At 39.4% G+C, this 16,614-nt stretch overlaps 2 annotated features.

Moving 5' to 3' along the window:
• Window positions 1,352–1,451: an enhancer, noted in NCBI's record as "active region_5550". NCBI's record gives its function as "activates an Ori minimal core promoter by ATAC-STARR-seq in GM12878 lymphoblastoid cells {active_cell/tissue: GM12878}" and the evidence as "EXISTENCE:reporter gene assay evidence [ECO:0000049][PMID:35858748]".
• Window positions 1,975–2,124: an enhancer, noted in NCBI's record as "active region_5551". NCBI's record gives its function as "activates an Ori minimal core promoter by ATAC-STARR-seq in GM12878 lymphoblastoid cells {active_cell/tissue: GM12878}" and the evidence as "EXISTENCE:reporter gene assay evidence [ECO:0000049][PMID:35858748]".

The following is a 16,614-nucleotide window of genomic DNA, read 5'->3' on the forward strand; positions in this document are numbered from 1 at the left end:
TAACCTGTGAGAGCTGCCTCCAGCACACTGCCGTTTGCCAGTTACCTGGCCATACTGAGGGGCAAGTAGGGAATGGGTCCTGGTCAATGCTAAGGGGTTAGACACAAGATGATGAGACTAGAGAAGGTTCTCTGGAGCTACAGGTTGGGGATCAGAAGTGCTACATTCAGACACAACCATGATATATTATATGGATAATACGCCCCACCAGTCAATGCAAAAGACATCATACCTTATCCTTCTTGATACTGTTTAAAAATTGGATATTCCCACACCACCCACATAGATATTTTATACTTACTTTAATAAGTTCAATTTAACTGTGTGTGTGTGTGTGTGTGTGTGTGTGTGTGTATGTGTATGTGTGGATGAATAAGGCATGGCATTAGGGGTACAAAAATGAGAAATACTAAGTCCCTCCCCTCATGGCTCTGGCAGTCTGATAGAGAAAGGGGAAATAGGGAAAGAAAACTAACATTTATTAAACATCTACCACTAACATAAATTAAAGAGACCAGTAGAGGGAAACACAGATAGATCACATATATTTGCTATGATATAAAGAAGAGATTTTTTATAGTTTAATACAACTCAAAATATTAAAAGGACAGAATTTCTGGGCCAGTTGGACTAAATGGGTGGTTTCTCTTGGCTCAGACCAGGAAAAAGAAATCTGATAAGAATTGGTCTTATTACTCTTTTGATGATCACCTTGTTTACCCATCAAGGAGGGTTTGGGAAGGACCCAGGAACTCAGCTTATAGACTTTGGCCATTGACAGTTTCCAAAACCAAGAATATAGAACCCAGAGAGATGGATAATATGGGAGAGTTGTCAATTCATAAAATGCTTTAGCAATACCCAGAGACTCATGGGAGTGAATATTACCATCCTCTACTTGGCATGCAGATACTATAATTTACAACATGAAGTTTACATAAAAGGAATTGTTCTCTCTGATTGGCATTTGGGAGATGGGCCCTGATGATAAGTGCACTCCTTTGCAGGGCTGGCCAATAATATTTCAGTCCCTGGCCTTTTCAAACCACTTTGTCAGAGGCTCTGCAAAGATGCATTGATTTATCTTGTGACAACAATAAAGAATTTGAGATCCTGGCAGGAAAACCAGAGGAGAAATCCAGCAGGGTTTTAAATCCGGGACCAAAACTTGGGAGAGAAATGTGAATTGGTTATGCATCCAGAAGAGATAGTTGAATCCATGGAAGGGTGATTATTCCCTCACTTGGAAGTAAAGGAGGAACAGCAGAAAAGGGAAGACAACTTATAGGAATCTGGATGTTGCGGGAGAAAGAGGATGCAGAGAGGAAACTGGAAATGAGATGTTAATTTCTTAGAAACAAATGAAAAGGAAACCATGGAAGTAAAGAGTTTCACAAAGGAGGGCACAGCAAGTTCAAATGTGGCCAAGACACTATGAGATGGAGAACCGAGAAAAGGCCCTTGAAGCAGGTGGTGAAAGACATCACTGATCATCTCTGTGACAGCAGTTTCACTAACACTAACAACTGTACAGTGTTTTTCAGTTCATGGGGAGAAAACGTCTTCCTCATCTATTAGCTCATCTGATGCTCATAACAAATGTGATGAAGAAAGCGAGGTTCGGATAGTAAGTGGCTGATCCAGAAACTGATCCAGGCCTTCTGATCTCAAATCATATTCTGTTTCTGCTGTGTTACATGGTTGTCTTTCAGAAAAGCACCTTGGGGTTGAAGTTGGACTGTAAGAAAGGTGTGAGGTGCAAGGATGTGGCCAAGGTCAAGGGCAACAAGACTAGAGCATCCACTTTACAAATTTGAGTGAATGGAGGCTGACTAGTAATTTTAGGGACTTTTTTGTTCTAGGATAAAAATACTTATAAATGTTTAGAACCAATAAAAAGCAAAGATTGGTTACCAAGAGAGATGGAGGAAGATCCTAGAAGGGGGAGAAGGGAAATGGGACCAAGAACACATGTGGAGGACTATGTCACAGCAAGACAGAGGGCCTTTGAGGGTGTAAAGGCAGAAGAAACGCTGTGCTGGAGAAAAGAGAACTTGAGGAACACCCTATTGTTGGAGGAAAACACAGTGAGGTCATCTTCTGAAGCTAAGAAGGGGAAGGAAAGCTGCTGTGGGGCATTTTCTTCATGGCCTCCTGACACCCTCCTGGGGTTCGAGAAGTCACGGAGATGACTCAACACAGCACTGCCACTTTTTGTCACTGGCTGTTTTCTTTGGGATAACTATGGTATAATGTAAACAGTACTGGGCTTGGGCACCCAACACTCAGAGTACAGTTTTGTCCCTGAGAGGTCTCGTTGGCTTTATGTCCAGGAACTCCAGCTCCTGGACACTGCATCTGAAAATTGCACTGTTATCTCAAATTCAATGGGACAGAATCCAGCAGAAAATAACAGAATCTTAAGTGCCAGAAAAATTACCTGGTCTAATTCTTGGATTCCCTCTGTAATATACCCTACCAATTGCCCTGCTTGATCATTTCCTGTGACAAGGTACTCACTACTTCTTTAGGCAGCTTGCTCCATTTTTAGACATGTCTAATGGATAAAAAAAAGTCTTCCTTATATTTGTCTTAGTTCTGACCTCTGGGAAACTCAGAATACAGAAATAAATTGGCTAATTTCTGTTCCCCTGGGAGTAGCTGTCAAAGATTTGAAGAGAGCCATCACGTATCCTTACATTTTCTATTCTTCAAGGCAAGCAAACCAAATTCTCCTTATTATTTCTGGGCTTCTCACTATCACATTAATTCTCCCCCATGCTCATCCCAGGATGCCAGTGACTGGTAGGCGTGCCTCTGCTGAGCCCACTTTCTGACTCTACCTTTTCACCTATTCAATTTCTGATCCCCTTGACCAGAGTTCTTTCCTCCGATTCCTCTTCTCTCATTCCCCTCTGAACACTACTGTCAGACTAACCATCCTAAACAAGGTTTGTTACAGGTCACTTCCCTTGTCAGAAAAACTTCAGTGGTTCTCCATTTACTATAAGATAAAGTCCAAATCTGGCATTAAATGCCCTCCAAAATGAGGCATTTTGGTATTGCTCCAAGCTCTTTGTTCTGAATATTCCCCTCCAATGGGTTTATTCATTCATCCTCCCATTTATTCATTGCAGAAACAATTATTGAGTGTCTACTATATGCCAGGCACTATGATAGGCTAATAGACATCCAAAGATGACAGAGAGATGGTCCTTGACAAGAAGGGGTTCACAGTATGATGGGGAAAAACACCATGTAAGTACACAAGCAATTCAGGTTATTACATGCAGCAAAACACAATCATTAAATATCACACCAATGATGTGTAGCGGTAACAGGGAAGGAAGAGACCCACTCTTCTTGGAGTGGATGGGAGAGCATTCATAGGGAGAGTGATGTTTCAATTGAGACTTGAAGGGTAAAAGAAATGTGCATCGTTAATAAGAAAAGACAAAAATATTATAAGTAGAAGGAACAGCTTCTGAAAGGCCATGTTCTAGAAAGTTCAAGTTGTCTAACATTTCAGTAGAGTATATCTAACATTTCAATGTGGAAAATGTGAGAGAAAGCAGTGATGAGCTGGTAAAATTTGAACAACCAGCATTTTGGGGTGGGGTTACGGGAACCCTGATTTTTAGCATGCCAATTTCTATAGTGTAAACATACCCAACATGGCTGATTTCAAACTTCCAAGACATCATTAAACTCAAAGCTGGGAAAAAAATATGCTCAATTGGCTCTCAAAAACCAGCAGGAAGTAGAGAAGGCTATAATCAGGAAAGGCTTTTTATATGCTATGGAATTGGGATTTTTTGTCCTATAGGATTATGGAGAGCCCTTGAAGGGCTTTAGACTAGATAATGTCATGACCAGCTTTGCCTTAACAAAAGCAAGTGCAAACTGCCCGTGTGTATATATGACAGGTAGGGATGGTGTTGGAGAAGTAAGTTATCAAAATTAGGACACTAATTCCCAACCCTAGCCACATGCCACACATTAGAATTACCCGGGGAATTAAAAAATAATCATGGTATTGTGACCTCAATCCTGAGATTCTGATTAAATCTGCCTGGGCTGCACCTCGGCTTCAGTAGGTCATAAATGCTCCTCAGGTGATATTAATATACAGCATGGACTGCAGAACACTGAGTTAGGAGACTATTTCTCTGAAATATATTTTCTCGCTATTCAATTTCATATTTTGCCTTGGAACATCTCCAGCTCCACCTCTGAACATTCTTCATTTGTCTCGGTCCAATTTGGGTGGCCAGCCCTTCCCTTCAGACTCAGTTCTTCTTGATTCCCTCCCCTGATGTCTTTTTGTACCTTCTTTTGCTTCCCAGTCTGCACTTACTCAGGAGCCAAATAATGAGTGGCTTTGGATTCCTGCCTTGCTGCTTGCTATGAGACAGCTCTGACCACTCCCACTCCAAGACCTCAGTACCAAAACCCCTAAGCCTTCTCGGAAGGAGAGAAGGGACAGAAGACTGAGGAAAGAGATGATGGATATCTGCACAGATATGTGGCTGTGAAAATTACAAGAAATTAATAATAATATAATGATAATGAGTTACCAAATGATTATTGTGGGCTACTTTCTAGATGCTTTTTATGTATTTGTTTAAATCTTCAACAACTCTATGAAGTAGGTACTATTATTATCATTCCTTTTGCATATATGAGGACATTGAGGCACAGAGAAAATAAGTAACTTCACCAAGGTCAACAGCTGGTAAGTGGCAAAACCAGCCTACAAACCCATGCAGTTTGGCTCAAGTGATCCTCTTTCTAACCACTAAATTCTTCTGCCTCTTTCAAGAAATACTTTGGTATACTTGAGAGAAGTCTTAATTATTCACTGGATGTACATGGAGGGAAAAGGAGAAGTTAAATTCTAGGTTGCTGGTATTGGAATTTGAGAGGACAGGAGTTTCACCAAGCAAAACAGAGAATTTAGGAGGAAAAGACATTCTACAGGGTATGGATTTAGACATGTCGAATTTTGTATGCTACAGTAGATGACCAGCAAATGGCTAAGTATGAGGAACTGGGGCTCAGGAAAGGAAATATGAATTGGAAATACAGTATAGGTTTTTACGGTTGTCAGGATTGAGGTGGTGTGGAAGCCATGGGAACAGGGGCAGTCACTGCATTCACCCACGTAGAGTTTGTAGATTGAGAAGAGAGAGGGTCAAAGTCAAGTATTAAAGAGACAAACAATGAATGAGACCTGAGTAAAGGGCACTGAGTGCAAAGGGAGAGAGATAGCAGAAGCTTCAGGGGAGCATGATATGGAGGAAACCAAGTGAACATGGAAAAACAAACTAACTCCATTTTTCTCCACTCTATTACTCTCACTCAACAACCAAGACTTTACTCCTGGCCACCAAAATGTGTGGTTTTTTCCCCCTCACATGCATTCCCAACCAATTCTCTGACACCCAGATGTAGCTGGATATCCTGCAACTTAACTGGATTCCAACACTGTCTACTTGGAGATAGCACAGACTCTACAAGTCAAGGACTCAGACCCACAAGACTGCCTCCCACTTCATATTTCAGTTGCAACTCCCAGATTGTGACCTTTGCTTCTGACCCTCCAGCTTTAAATCAGGGTTCCCACAATCCCCTCCTTGGGTTCCATAGCTTCCTAGGATGACTCAGAGAAACATGTGCTTACTGGTTTCTTGTAAACTATATTACAAAGGACACAGATGAACAGTGAAATGAAAAGTTACCTGGGGCAAAGTGTATGGGAAGAGGCATAGAGTTTCCAAGCCTTTCTGCGTACACCACCCTCACAGCACCTTCATGTGTTCAACAGCCTGGAACTGCTCTGAACCCTGTAGTTCAGGGATTTTTATGGAGGCTTCATGATGTAGGCATGATCTATTATTTAACTCAATCTCCAGCCTTTCTTCTCTTCCTGGAAGTCAGGCAGTGGGGCTGAAAGTCCCAAGCTTTTAATCCTGGCTTGGTCTTTCTGGTAACCAACCTCCATCCAGGAGCCTACCAAGAGTCACCTCATTAAAACACAAGACGTCCTTATTGCCTAGGAAATTCCAAAGATTTTAGGAGCTCTTTGACAGAAACTGGGGGCAGAGACCAAGTATGTATTTCTTATTATATCACAATGTCATGCCACTAGGAAGTGAATTATTCCTTGAAAGTGGGAGAGGTTGATCAGTAGTATCAAATATTGTAGGAAGCACAGGTAAATAAGACAGAAAAGTGGTCACTGGATATGAACATAGAAGGTCACTGGTGACTTGCCAGAGTACTTTTAGTAGTGTAGTAAAAGAGTAAGAGCCATGAGCTGTGACTCATGGGGTATACGGAAAGTGAAGGACACACAAACACAATCATGTATATATGTATATGAATTACATATATTAGAATACATCTCTATATTAGAAAAATATATATTAGGAAACTTTATAATTTTTTAAGTGGATGGGGAAGTGTGGATGATTTTTTGTAAATGTTTTTGCTTGTTTGATTTTAAGATGGTAAAGCCTTGCAGATATTTATGTATCAAAAGGATAAAGGCAGAAAAGAGAATGAATTTGATCCTGAAGGAATAAGAGAAGGAAAAATGGCCCAAAGTAGGTGGGAATGATAAACCTTGAACAGAGGGTCATATGATTGTAGAGATTACAAAGTATCCCATTGTGGGTTTAGACACAGGTATACTTAACTCACACCTGATAGCCTTCTTATTCTTTGTGAAGTAGAAAGCCAGAGGTTCAGAGAATGATTAAGGAAAAGATGGGTTTGGAATATCTTCTAAAGGAATATTGACAGTGAATTGTCTAAGCCAAAGGAAAGGTTTGTTAAACAGAATTGAAAACCAGTTCATATTGGAAATTATAAATTTCCAATAATGTCAGCTTGTATGGATATAAAATTTTCTCTGGCTCTTCTCAGCCATACATGTTTAGGGACAGAGAATATAGATTGCAGAATGAATTTGGAAAGAATGCCAAGTAAGAAAATGGGAGAAAAGAGTTGAAGTTACAAGTGAATAACTCAAGATATCCATGTGGGTTTCATGGTTGGTAAAAGAATGAAATTAAAAGGTAGTTGATAGATAAAAGGAAAATGAGGGATTCACAGGCCGGAGACATCACTGGGATTGAAGAGCAAGTACAATGGGAATTAGAAAGTAAAAGACCTGATACACTTATTTTGGCAGAGAAGGGCCTCTAGATTTGAAGTTTTCACACTGAAGGAAGAGCCAAATGATGATATATAGGTAAGACACAGCCATATAGGAGTGGAAACAATGTTCAGTGGGATTAAGAAAGGTCAAGGAACTTAGGATCTATTGTGTTGGATCAGCTCTCCAAGAATTCTGAAATATTCCCATGGAGCAGTATGCAGAAGAAGACTCTAAGTGCTTATGGCAATGTGATTGTATGTTAGGGCATTTCAGGAATCTGTGTAGAATGAGGATCTCATTAAGTTCACTTATTCTCCTTCTTCTCCACACCAGGGCTATACTGTTTCCTCTCACTGCATTAACTGAAACCATCCCCATTTTTTTGCTCAGGCTCTATCTCTTCAAACCTGGCTGCAGAGTGAAACTCAGCCTTCCCAGCCCTCACATCCCTGATGCTTCTGAGGACAATCCTGCAGGCCCTTTTGGTTCTGAGAACCTGCTGATTGCTGTCAGAAACTGAAGTGAAAGTGGCAGGTACCAAATGTAGGAGGCTGCAGTTTCCAGAATCTTACACCTTCCTCTCTGGCATGGTCTCCTGGGTGTATTTTCTGACTCTTTTCTGGAAGGTGCAATGGAAGCCACATGGAACTTGATTTCTCCATGAATTCCTGAGTGGGGCTCAGCAAACCAAACTCATTGGACTGACCTTCCCCTCTCTTTGAGGATGGGCCAGTTTCTTCCTGTTTTATGTTACAAAACACAAAAAACAGAGACATTTTCAAAATATAATAAACATTTGTTTTTCTACAACTGAAATTAAACAGAAATTAATATGTTGTCATATCTGCTTCAGATCTCTGTTTTTTAAAAGAAATAATTTCAGTTACAGATAAGGTCCCACCTACATTCTTCTCCCATCTATTCACCCCATAGATATCTACTAACTTGAAGTTTGTGTAATGTCCATTTGTGTTTCGTGCTTTTACTATTTATGTGTGTCTGCAAATAATACATACCCTATTACAATTAATTTTTTCACTCGACTTTTTCTTATGAGCTTTCTTCATGTTGATATATGGTGGCTGTAGTCTATTCACTGTAATTATTATATAGTATTTCACTGTATGAGTAAACCACAGTTTGTTAGTTGCCTGATAAGGCACAGTTTATTTCCATTTATTCACTATTAGAAGCAATGCTATCAAGAGAATCCTTGAATTTGTTTTCTTGTGCACATTCACTAGACATGGTAATGTCTAATGTGTCCACAAGAGAGAGGCTAGAAAGGATATTGCCATAGTTTATGTATGGTAAGGGTATATTTAACTTCTTAAGAAACTGTCAAGCTGTTTTTCAAGGTGTTCGTGCCATTTTTTTTATTTCTACCAACAGGGTATGAGAGTTCCTGTAGCTTCAATTCCTTACCAACACTTGGTAATGTGTCTTTTTAATTTTAATCATTCTAGTAGGTATAATAAAGGTATCTCATGGTATGGCTTTAATTTACTTTTCCCTTATGACTAATGATGTTCAGCATCTTTTCATGGTATATATTCTTTGTGAACTGTCTTAAATGTTTACCAACATTTCATTGGATTATTTTCTTCTTATTAAGCTGGAATAAGTTCTTTACATAATCTGGATTAAAATTCCTTGTAAAATACATGTATTGAGAACATTTTATTCTAGTTTGTGGTTTACCTTTTCATTTTGCTAGTTTAAAATTTTTAAATTAGTAATTATTTTCTTTAGGGCTTTTGCTTTTTGTGTTTTATTCAAGAAATATTTGCCTACCTCAAAGTCATGACAATTTTATGCTGTGATTTTTTTGTCTGGAAATATTGTAATTTTAGCTTTTGTGTTTAGGTCTATGATCCATTTTCAGTTCATTTTTTTGTATGTTATTAGGAGAAGGCTGAGTTTTACTTTTTTTCATGTAGATATCCAGTTATCTCAGCACCATTTGTTGAAAATACTTTTCTTTCTTCAGCGATTTATCTTGTGATCTTTGTTGAAAATCAATTTACCATATATGTGAAGGTCTATTTCTGGACCTTTGATTCCTCTCCATTGATCCAAAAAACCTATCTTTATGTGAGTACCTGTGTATTACTATAGCTTTATAGTAAGTCTGGAAATCATACAATATAAATCTTTCATAGCTGTTATTTTTCAAAAAAATATTTTCACAAGTCTAAATTCATTGCATTTCCATATAAATTTTAGAATCAACTTGCTATTTTCTAAAAAAGAAGGCTGCTAGGACTTTAATAGGAATAGTTTGAAACTGTAGAGTAAATTAGGGACAACTGACATCTTAACACTATTGAGTCTTTTGATCCATGAACATGGTATGTCATGCCATTTATTTACATCTTTAAAAATCCCTCTCAACAGTATTTTGTAGTTTTCAAGATATTGATCTTGCACATATTTTGTTAAATTTATCCCTACATATTTTCATTTTTATACTAGTATTAATAATATCATTTCTTATTTCATTTTTAAATTGTTTACTGATAACATATAAAAATATAGTTAATATTGGTATATTGCCCTTGCATCTTATAAACATGATAAAGTCACATATTTGTTCTATAGATGTTATTGTAAATTCCTTATAATTTTCTGTAAAACTATAATGTCATGTGCAAATAAAGATAGTATTACTTCCTTTATTTCACTCTGTATACCTTTATTTTTAAAATTATTTATTATTTTTAGTTGTTTTTAAATTGAGGTAAAATTTACATAACATATAATTAAACATTTTAAAGTGTACGACTCAGTAGCATTTGGTACTTTCACAATGTTGTGCAACCACTACCTCTAGGTAGTTCTAAAACATTTTAATAAATCCAAAATATAACCCTCGGTCCGGCATTTCAAGATGGCCGAATAGGAAGAGCTCCAGTCTGCAGCTCCCAGTGTGAGCGACGCAGAAGATGGGTGATTTCTGCATTTCCAACTGAGGTACCGGGTTCATCTCACTGGGGAGTGTCGGACAGCAGGTGCAGGACAGTGGGTGCAGTGCACCAAGTGTGAGCTGAAGCAGGGCGAGGCATTGCCTCACCCGGGAAGCGCAAGGGGTCAGGGAATTCCCTTTCCTAATCAAAGAAAGCGGTGACAGATGGCACCTGGAAAATCGGGTCACTCCCACCCTAATACTGCACTTTTCCAATGGTCTTAGCAAACGGCACACCAGGAGATTATATCCCGTGCGTGACTCAGAGGGTCCTACGCCCACGGAGCCTTGCTCACTGCTAGCACAGCAGTCTGAGGTCAAACTGCAAGGCAACAGTGAGGCTGGGGGAGGGGCACCCCCCATTGCCAAGGCTTGAGTAGGTAAACAAAGCAGCTGGGAAGCTCAAACTGGGTGGAGCCCACCACAGCTCAAGGAGGCCTGCCTGCCTTGTAGACTCCACCTCTAGGGGCAGGGCATAACCAAACAAAAGGCAGCAGAAATCTCTGCAGACTTAAATGACCCTGTCTGACAGCTTTGAAGAGAGTAGTGGTTCTCCCAGCACGCAGCTTGAGATCTGAGAACTGACAGACTGCCTCTTCAAGTGCGTCCCTGACCCCCAAGTAGCCTAACTTGGAGGCAACCCCCAGTAGGGACAGACTGACACCTCACACGGCCGGGTACCCCTCTGAGGCAAAACTTCCAGAGGAACGATCAGGCAGCAACATTTCCTGTTCACCAATATCCACTGTTCTGCAGCCTCCGCTGCTGATACCCAGGCAAACAGGGTCTGGAGTGAACCTCCAGCAAACTCCAACAGACCTGCAGCTGAGGGTCCTGACTGTTAGAAGGAAAACTAACAAACAGAAAGGACATCCACACCAAAAACCCCATCTGTATGTCACCATCATCAAAGACCAAAGGTAGATAAAACCACGAAGATGAAGAAAAAACAGAGCAGAAAAACTGGAAACTCTAAAAATCAGAGTGCCTCTCCCCTCCAAAGGAATGCAGCTCCTCACCCGCAATGGAATAAAGCTGGATGGAGAATGACTTTGACGAGTTGAGAGAAGAAGGCTTCAGATGATCAAACTACTCCAAGCTAAAGGAGGAAGTTCGAACCCATGGCAAAGAAGTTAAAAACCTTGAAAAAAAAATTAGACGAATGGCTAACTAGAATAACCAATGCAGAGAAGTCTTTAAAGGACCTGAGGGAGCTGAAAACCAAGGCAGGAGAACTATATGACAAATGCACAAGCCTCAGTAGCCGATTTGATAACTGCAAGAAAGGGCATCAGTGATGGAAGATCAAATGAATGAAATGAAGTGAGAAGAGCAGTTTAGAGAAAAAAGAATAAAAATAAACGAACAAAGCCTCCAAGAAATATGGGACTATGTGAAAAGACCAAATCTACATCTGATTGGTGTACCTGAAAGTGACGGGGAGAATGGAACCAAGTTGGAAAACACTTTGCAGGATATTTTCCAGGAGAACTTCCCAATCTAGCAAGGCAGGCCAACATTCAAATTCAGGAAATACAGAGAACGCCACAAAGATATTCCTCAAGAAGAGCAACTCCAAGACACATAATTGTCAGATTCACCAAAGTTGAAATGAAGGAAAAAATGTTAAGGGCAGCCAGAGAGAAAGGTCGGGTTACCCACAAAGGGAAGCCCATCAGACTAACAGCTGATCTCTCGGCAGAAACTCTACAAGCCAGAAGAGAGTGGGGGCAAATATTCAACATTCTTCAACCCAGAATTTCATATCCAGCCAAACTAAGCTTCATAAGTGAAGGAGAAATAAAATACTTTACAGCCAAGCAAATGCTGAGAGATTTTATCACCACCAGGCCTGCCCTAAAAGAGCTCCTGAAGGAAGCACTAACCATGGAAAGGAACAACCGGTACCAGCCACTGCAAAAACATGCCAAATTGTAAAGACCATCAAGGCTAGGAAGAAACTGCATCAACTAACGAGCAAAATAACCAGCTAACATCATAATGATAGGATCAAATTCACACATAACAATATTAACCTTAAATGTAAATGGGCTAAATGCTCCAATTAAAAGACACAGACTGGCAAATTGGATAAAGATTCAAGACCCATCAGTGTGCTGTATTCAGGAAACCCATCTCACGTGCGGAGACACACATAGGCTCAAAATAAAGGGATGGAGGAAGATCTACCAAGCAAATGGAAAACAAAAAAAGGCAGGGGTTGCAATCCTAATCTCTGATAAAACAGACTTTAAACCAACAAAGATCAAAAGAGACAAAGAAGGCCATTACATAATGGTAAAGGAATCAATTCAACAAGAAGAGCTAACTATCCTAAATATATATACACCCAATACAGGAGCACCCAGATTCATAAAGGAAGTCCTTAGAGACCTAGAAAGAGACTTAGACTCCCACACAATAATAATGGGAGACTTTAACACCCCACTCAACATTAGACAGATCAACGAGACAGAAAGTTAACAAGGATATCCAGGAATTAAACTCAGCTCTGCACCAAGCAGACCTAATAGAAATCTACAGAACTCTCCACCCCAAATCAACAGAATATACATTCTTTTCAGCACCACACCACACCTATTCCAAAATTGACCACATAGTTGGAAGTAAAGCACTCCTCAGCAAATGTAAAAGAACAGAAATCATAACAAACTGCCTCTCAGACCACAGTGCAATCAAACTAGAACTCAGGATTAAGGAACTCACTCAAAACCACTCAACTACATGGAAACTGAACAACCTGCTCCTGAATGACTACTGGGTACATAATGAAATGAAGGCAGAAATAAAAACGTTCTTTGAAACCAACAAGAACAAAGACACAACATACCAGAATCTCTGGGACACATTCAAAGCAGTGTGTAGAGGGAAATTTATAGCACTAAATGCCCACAAGAGAAAGCAGGAAAGATCTAAAATTGACACCCTAACATCACAATTAAAAGAACTAGAGAAGCAAGAGCACACACATTCAAAAGCTAGCAGAAGGCAAGAAATAACTAAGATCAGAGCAGAACTGAAGGAGATAGAGACACAAAAATCCCTTCAAAAAATCAATGGATTCAGGAGCTGGTTTTTTGAAAAGATCAACAAAATTGATAGACCACTAGCTAGACTAATAAAGAAGAAAAGAGAGAAGAATCAAATAGATGCAATAAAAAATGATAAAGGGGATATCACCACTGATCCCACAGAAATACAAACTACCATCAGAGAATACTATAAACACCTCTATGCAAATAAACTAGAAAATCTAGAAGAAATGGATAAATTCCTCGACACATACACTCTCCCAAGACTAAACCAGGAAGAAGTTGAGTCTCTGAATAGACCAATAACAGACTCTGAAAGTGAGGCAATAATCAATAGCTTACCAACCAAAAAAAGTCCAGGACCAGATGGATTCACAGCCAAATTCTACCAGAGGTACAAGGAGGAACTGGTACCATTCCTTCTGAAACTATTCCAATCAATAGAAAAAGAGGGAATCCTCCCTAACTCATTTTATGAGGCCAGCATCATCCTGATACCAAAGCCTGGCAGAGACACAACAAAAAAAGAGAATTTTAGACCAACATCCTTGATGAACATCGATGCAAAAACCCTCAATAAAATACTGGATTCGGCAAACCGAATCCAGCAGCACATCAAAAAGCTTATCCAACATGATCAAGTGGGCTTCATCCCTGGGTTGCAAGGCTGGTTCAACATACGCAAATCAATAAATGTAATCCAGCATATAAACAGAACCAAAGACAAAAACCACGTGATTATCTCAATAGATGCAGAAAAGGCCTTTGACAAAATTCAACAACCCTTCATGCTAAAAACTCTCAATAAATTCGGTATTGATGGGACATATCTCAAAATTATAAGAGCTATCTATGACAAACCCACAGCCACTATCATACTGAATGGGCAAAAACTGGAAGCATTTCCTTTGAAAACTGGCACAAGACAGGAATGCCCTCTCTCACCACTCCCATTCAACATAGTGTTGGAAGTTCTGGCCAGGGCAATCAGGCAGGAGAAGGAAATAAAGGGTATTCAATTAGGAAAAGAGGAAGTCAAATTGTCCCTGTTTGCAGATGACATGATTGTATATCTAGAAAACGCCATTGTCTCAGCCCAAAATCTCCTTAAGCTGATAGGCAACTTCAGCAAAGTCTCAGGATACAAAAGCAATGTGCAAAAATCACAAGCATTCTTATACACCAGTAACAGAAAAACAGAGAGCCAAATCATGAATGAACTCCCATTCACAATTCCTTCAAAGAGAATAAAATATCTAGGAATCCAACTTACAAGGGATGTGAAGGACCTCTTCAAGGAGAACTACAAACCACTGCTCAATGAAATAAAAGAGGATACAAACAAATGGAAGAACATTCTATGCTCATGGGTAGCAAGAATCAATATCGTGAAAATGGCCATACTGCCCAAGGTAATTTATAGATTCAATGCCATCTCCATCAAGCTACCAATGACTTTCTTCACAGAATTGGAAAAGACTACTTTAAAGTTCATATGAAACCAAAAAAGAGCCCACGTCGCCAAGTCAATCCTAAGCCAAAAGAACAAAGCTGGAGGCATCATGCTACCTGACTTCAAACTATACTACAAGGCTACAGTAACCAAAACAGCATGGTACTGGTACCAAAACAGAGATATAGACCAATGGAACAGAACACAGCCCTCAGAAATAATGCCACATGTCTACAACTATCTGATCTTTGACAAACCTGACAAAAACAAGAAACGGGGAAAGGATTCCCTATTTAATAAATGGTGCTGGGAAAACTGGCTAGCCATATGTAGAAAGCTGAAACTGGATCCCTTCCTTACACCTTATACAAAAATTAATTCAAGATGGATTAAAGACTTACATGTTAGACCTAAAGCCATAAAAACCCTAGAAGAAAACCTAGGCAATACCATTCAGGACATTGGCTTGGGCAAGGACTTCATGTCTAAAACACCAAAAGCAATGGCAACAAAAGCCAAAATTGACAAATGGGATCTAATTAAACTCAAGAGCTTCTGCACAGCAAAAGAAACTACCATCAGAGTGAACAGGCAGCCTACAGAATGGGAGAACATTTTTGCAACCTACTCATCTGACAAAGGGCTAATATCCAGAATCTACAATGAACTCAAACAAATTTACAAGAAAAAAACAAACAACCCCATCAAAAAGCAGGCAAAGGATATGAACAGACACTTCTCAAAAGAAGACATTTATGCAGCCAAAGGACACATGAAAAAATGCTCATCATCACTGGCCATCAGAGAAATGCAAATCAAAACCACAATGAAATATCATCTCACACCAGTTAGAACAGTGATCATCAAAAAGTCAGGAAACAACAGGTGCTGGAGAGGATGTGTAGAAATAGGAACACTTTTACACTGTTGGTGGGACTGTAAACTAGTTCAACCATTGTGGAAATCAGTGTGGCGATTCCTCAGGGATCTAGAACTAGAAATACCATTTGACCCAGCCATCCCATTACTGGGTATATCCCCAAAGGATTACAAAACATGCTGCTATAAAGACACATGTACACGTATGTTTATCACGGCACTATTCACAATAGCAAAGACTTGGAACCAACCCAAATGTCCAACAATGATAGACAGATCAAGAACATGTGGCACATGTACACCATGGAATACTATGCAGCCATAAAAAATGATGAGTTCATGTCCTTTGTAGGGACATGGATGAAGCTGGAAACCATCATTCTCAGCAAACTATTGCAAGGACAAAAAACCAAACACCGCATGTTCTCACTCACAGGTGGGAACTGAACAATGAGAACACATGGACACAGGAAGGGGAACATCACACACCGGGGCCTGTTGTGGGGTGGGGGGAGGCAGGAGGGATTGCATTATGAGATATACCTAATGTTAAATGACGAGTTAATGGGTGCAGCACACCAACATCGCACATGTATACATATGTAACAAACCTGCACGTTGTGCTCATGTACCCTAAAACTTAAAGTATATTAAAAAAAACAAAAAAAACAAAACAACAACAAAAAAATATGTAACCCTCTGCCAATTAAGCAATTACTCTCCACTTTCCCCAACCCTACCTCTCCTCCTCTCTAACCCCTAGGAACCACTAATCTGCTTCCTATCTTTACAAATTTACAAATTATGGGTATTTTATATAAGTGGAATTATATAATATGTAATCTTTTCTGACTTCTTAACATAACATTTTTGAGGTTCATCCACATTGCAGCACATATTAGTACTTTATTCCTTTTTATAACTAAATTATATTTTATTGTATGTATATACCATAATTTGTTTATCCATTCTTCCGTTGATAGATGTTTGTGTTGTTTCCACATTTTGACTACTGTGAATAATACGGCTATCAGCAACTGTGTACATGTGTTTGTTTGAGTTCCTGTTTTCAGTTATATGAGATATATACCTAGGAGCA

The sequence above is a fragment of the Homo sapiens genome, chromosome 11 (genome assembly GCF_000001405.40).
Source record: "Homo sapiens chromosome 11, GRCh38.p14 Primary Assembly".
NCBI lineage: Eukaryota > Metazoa > Chordata > Mammalia > Primates > Hominidae > Homo > Homo sapiens.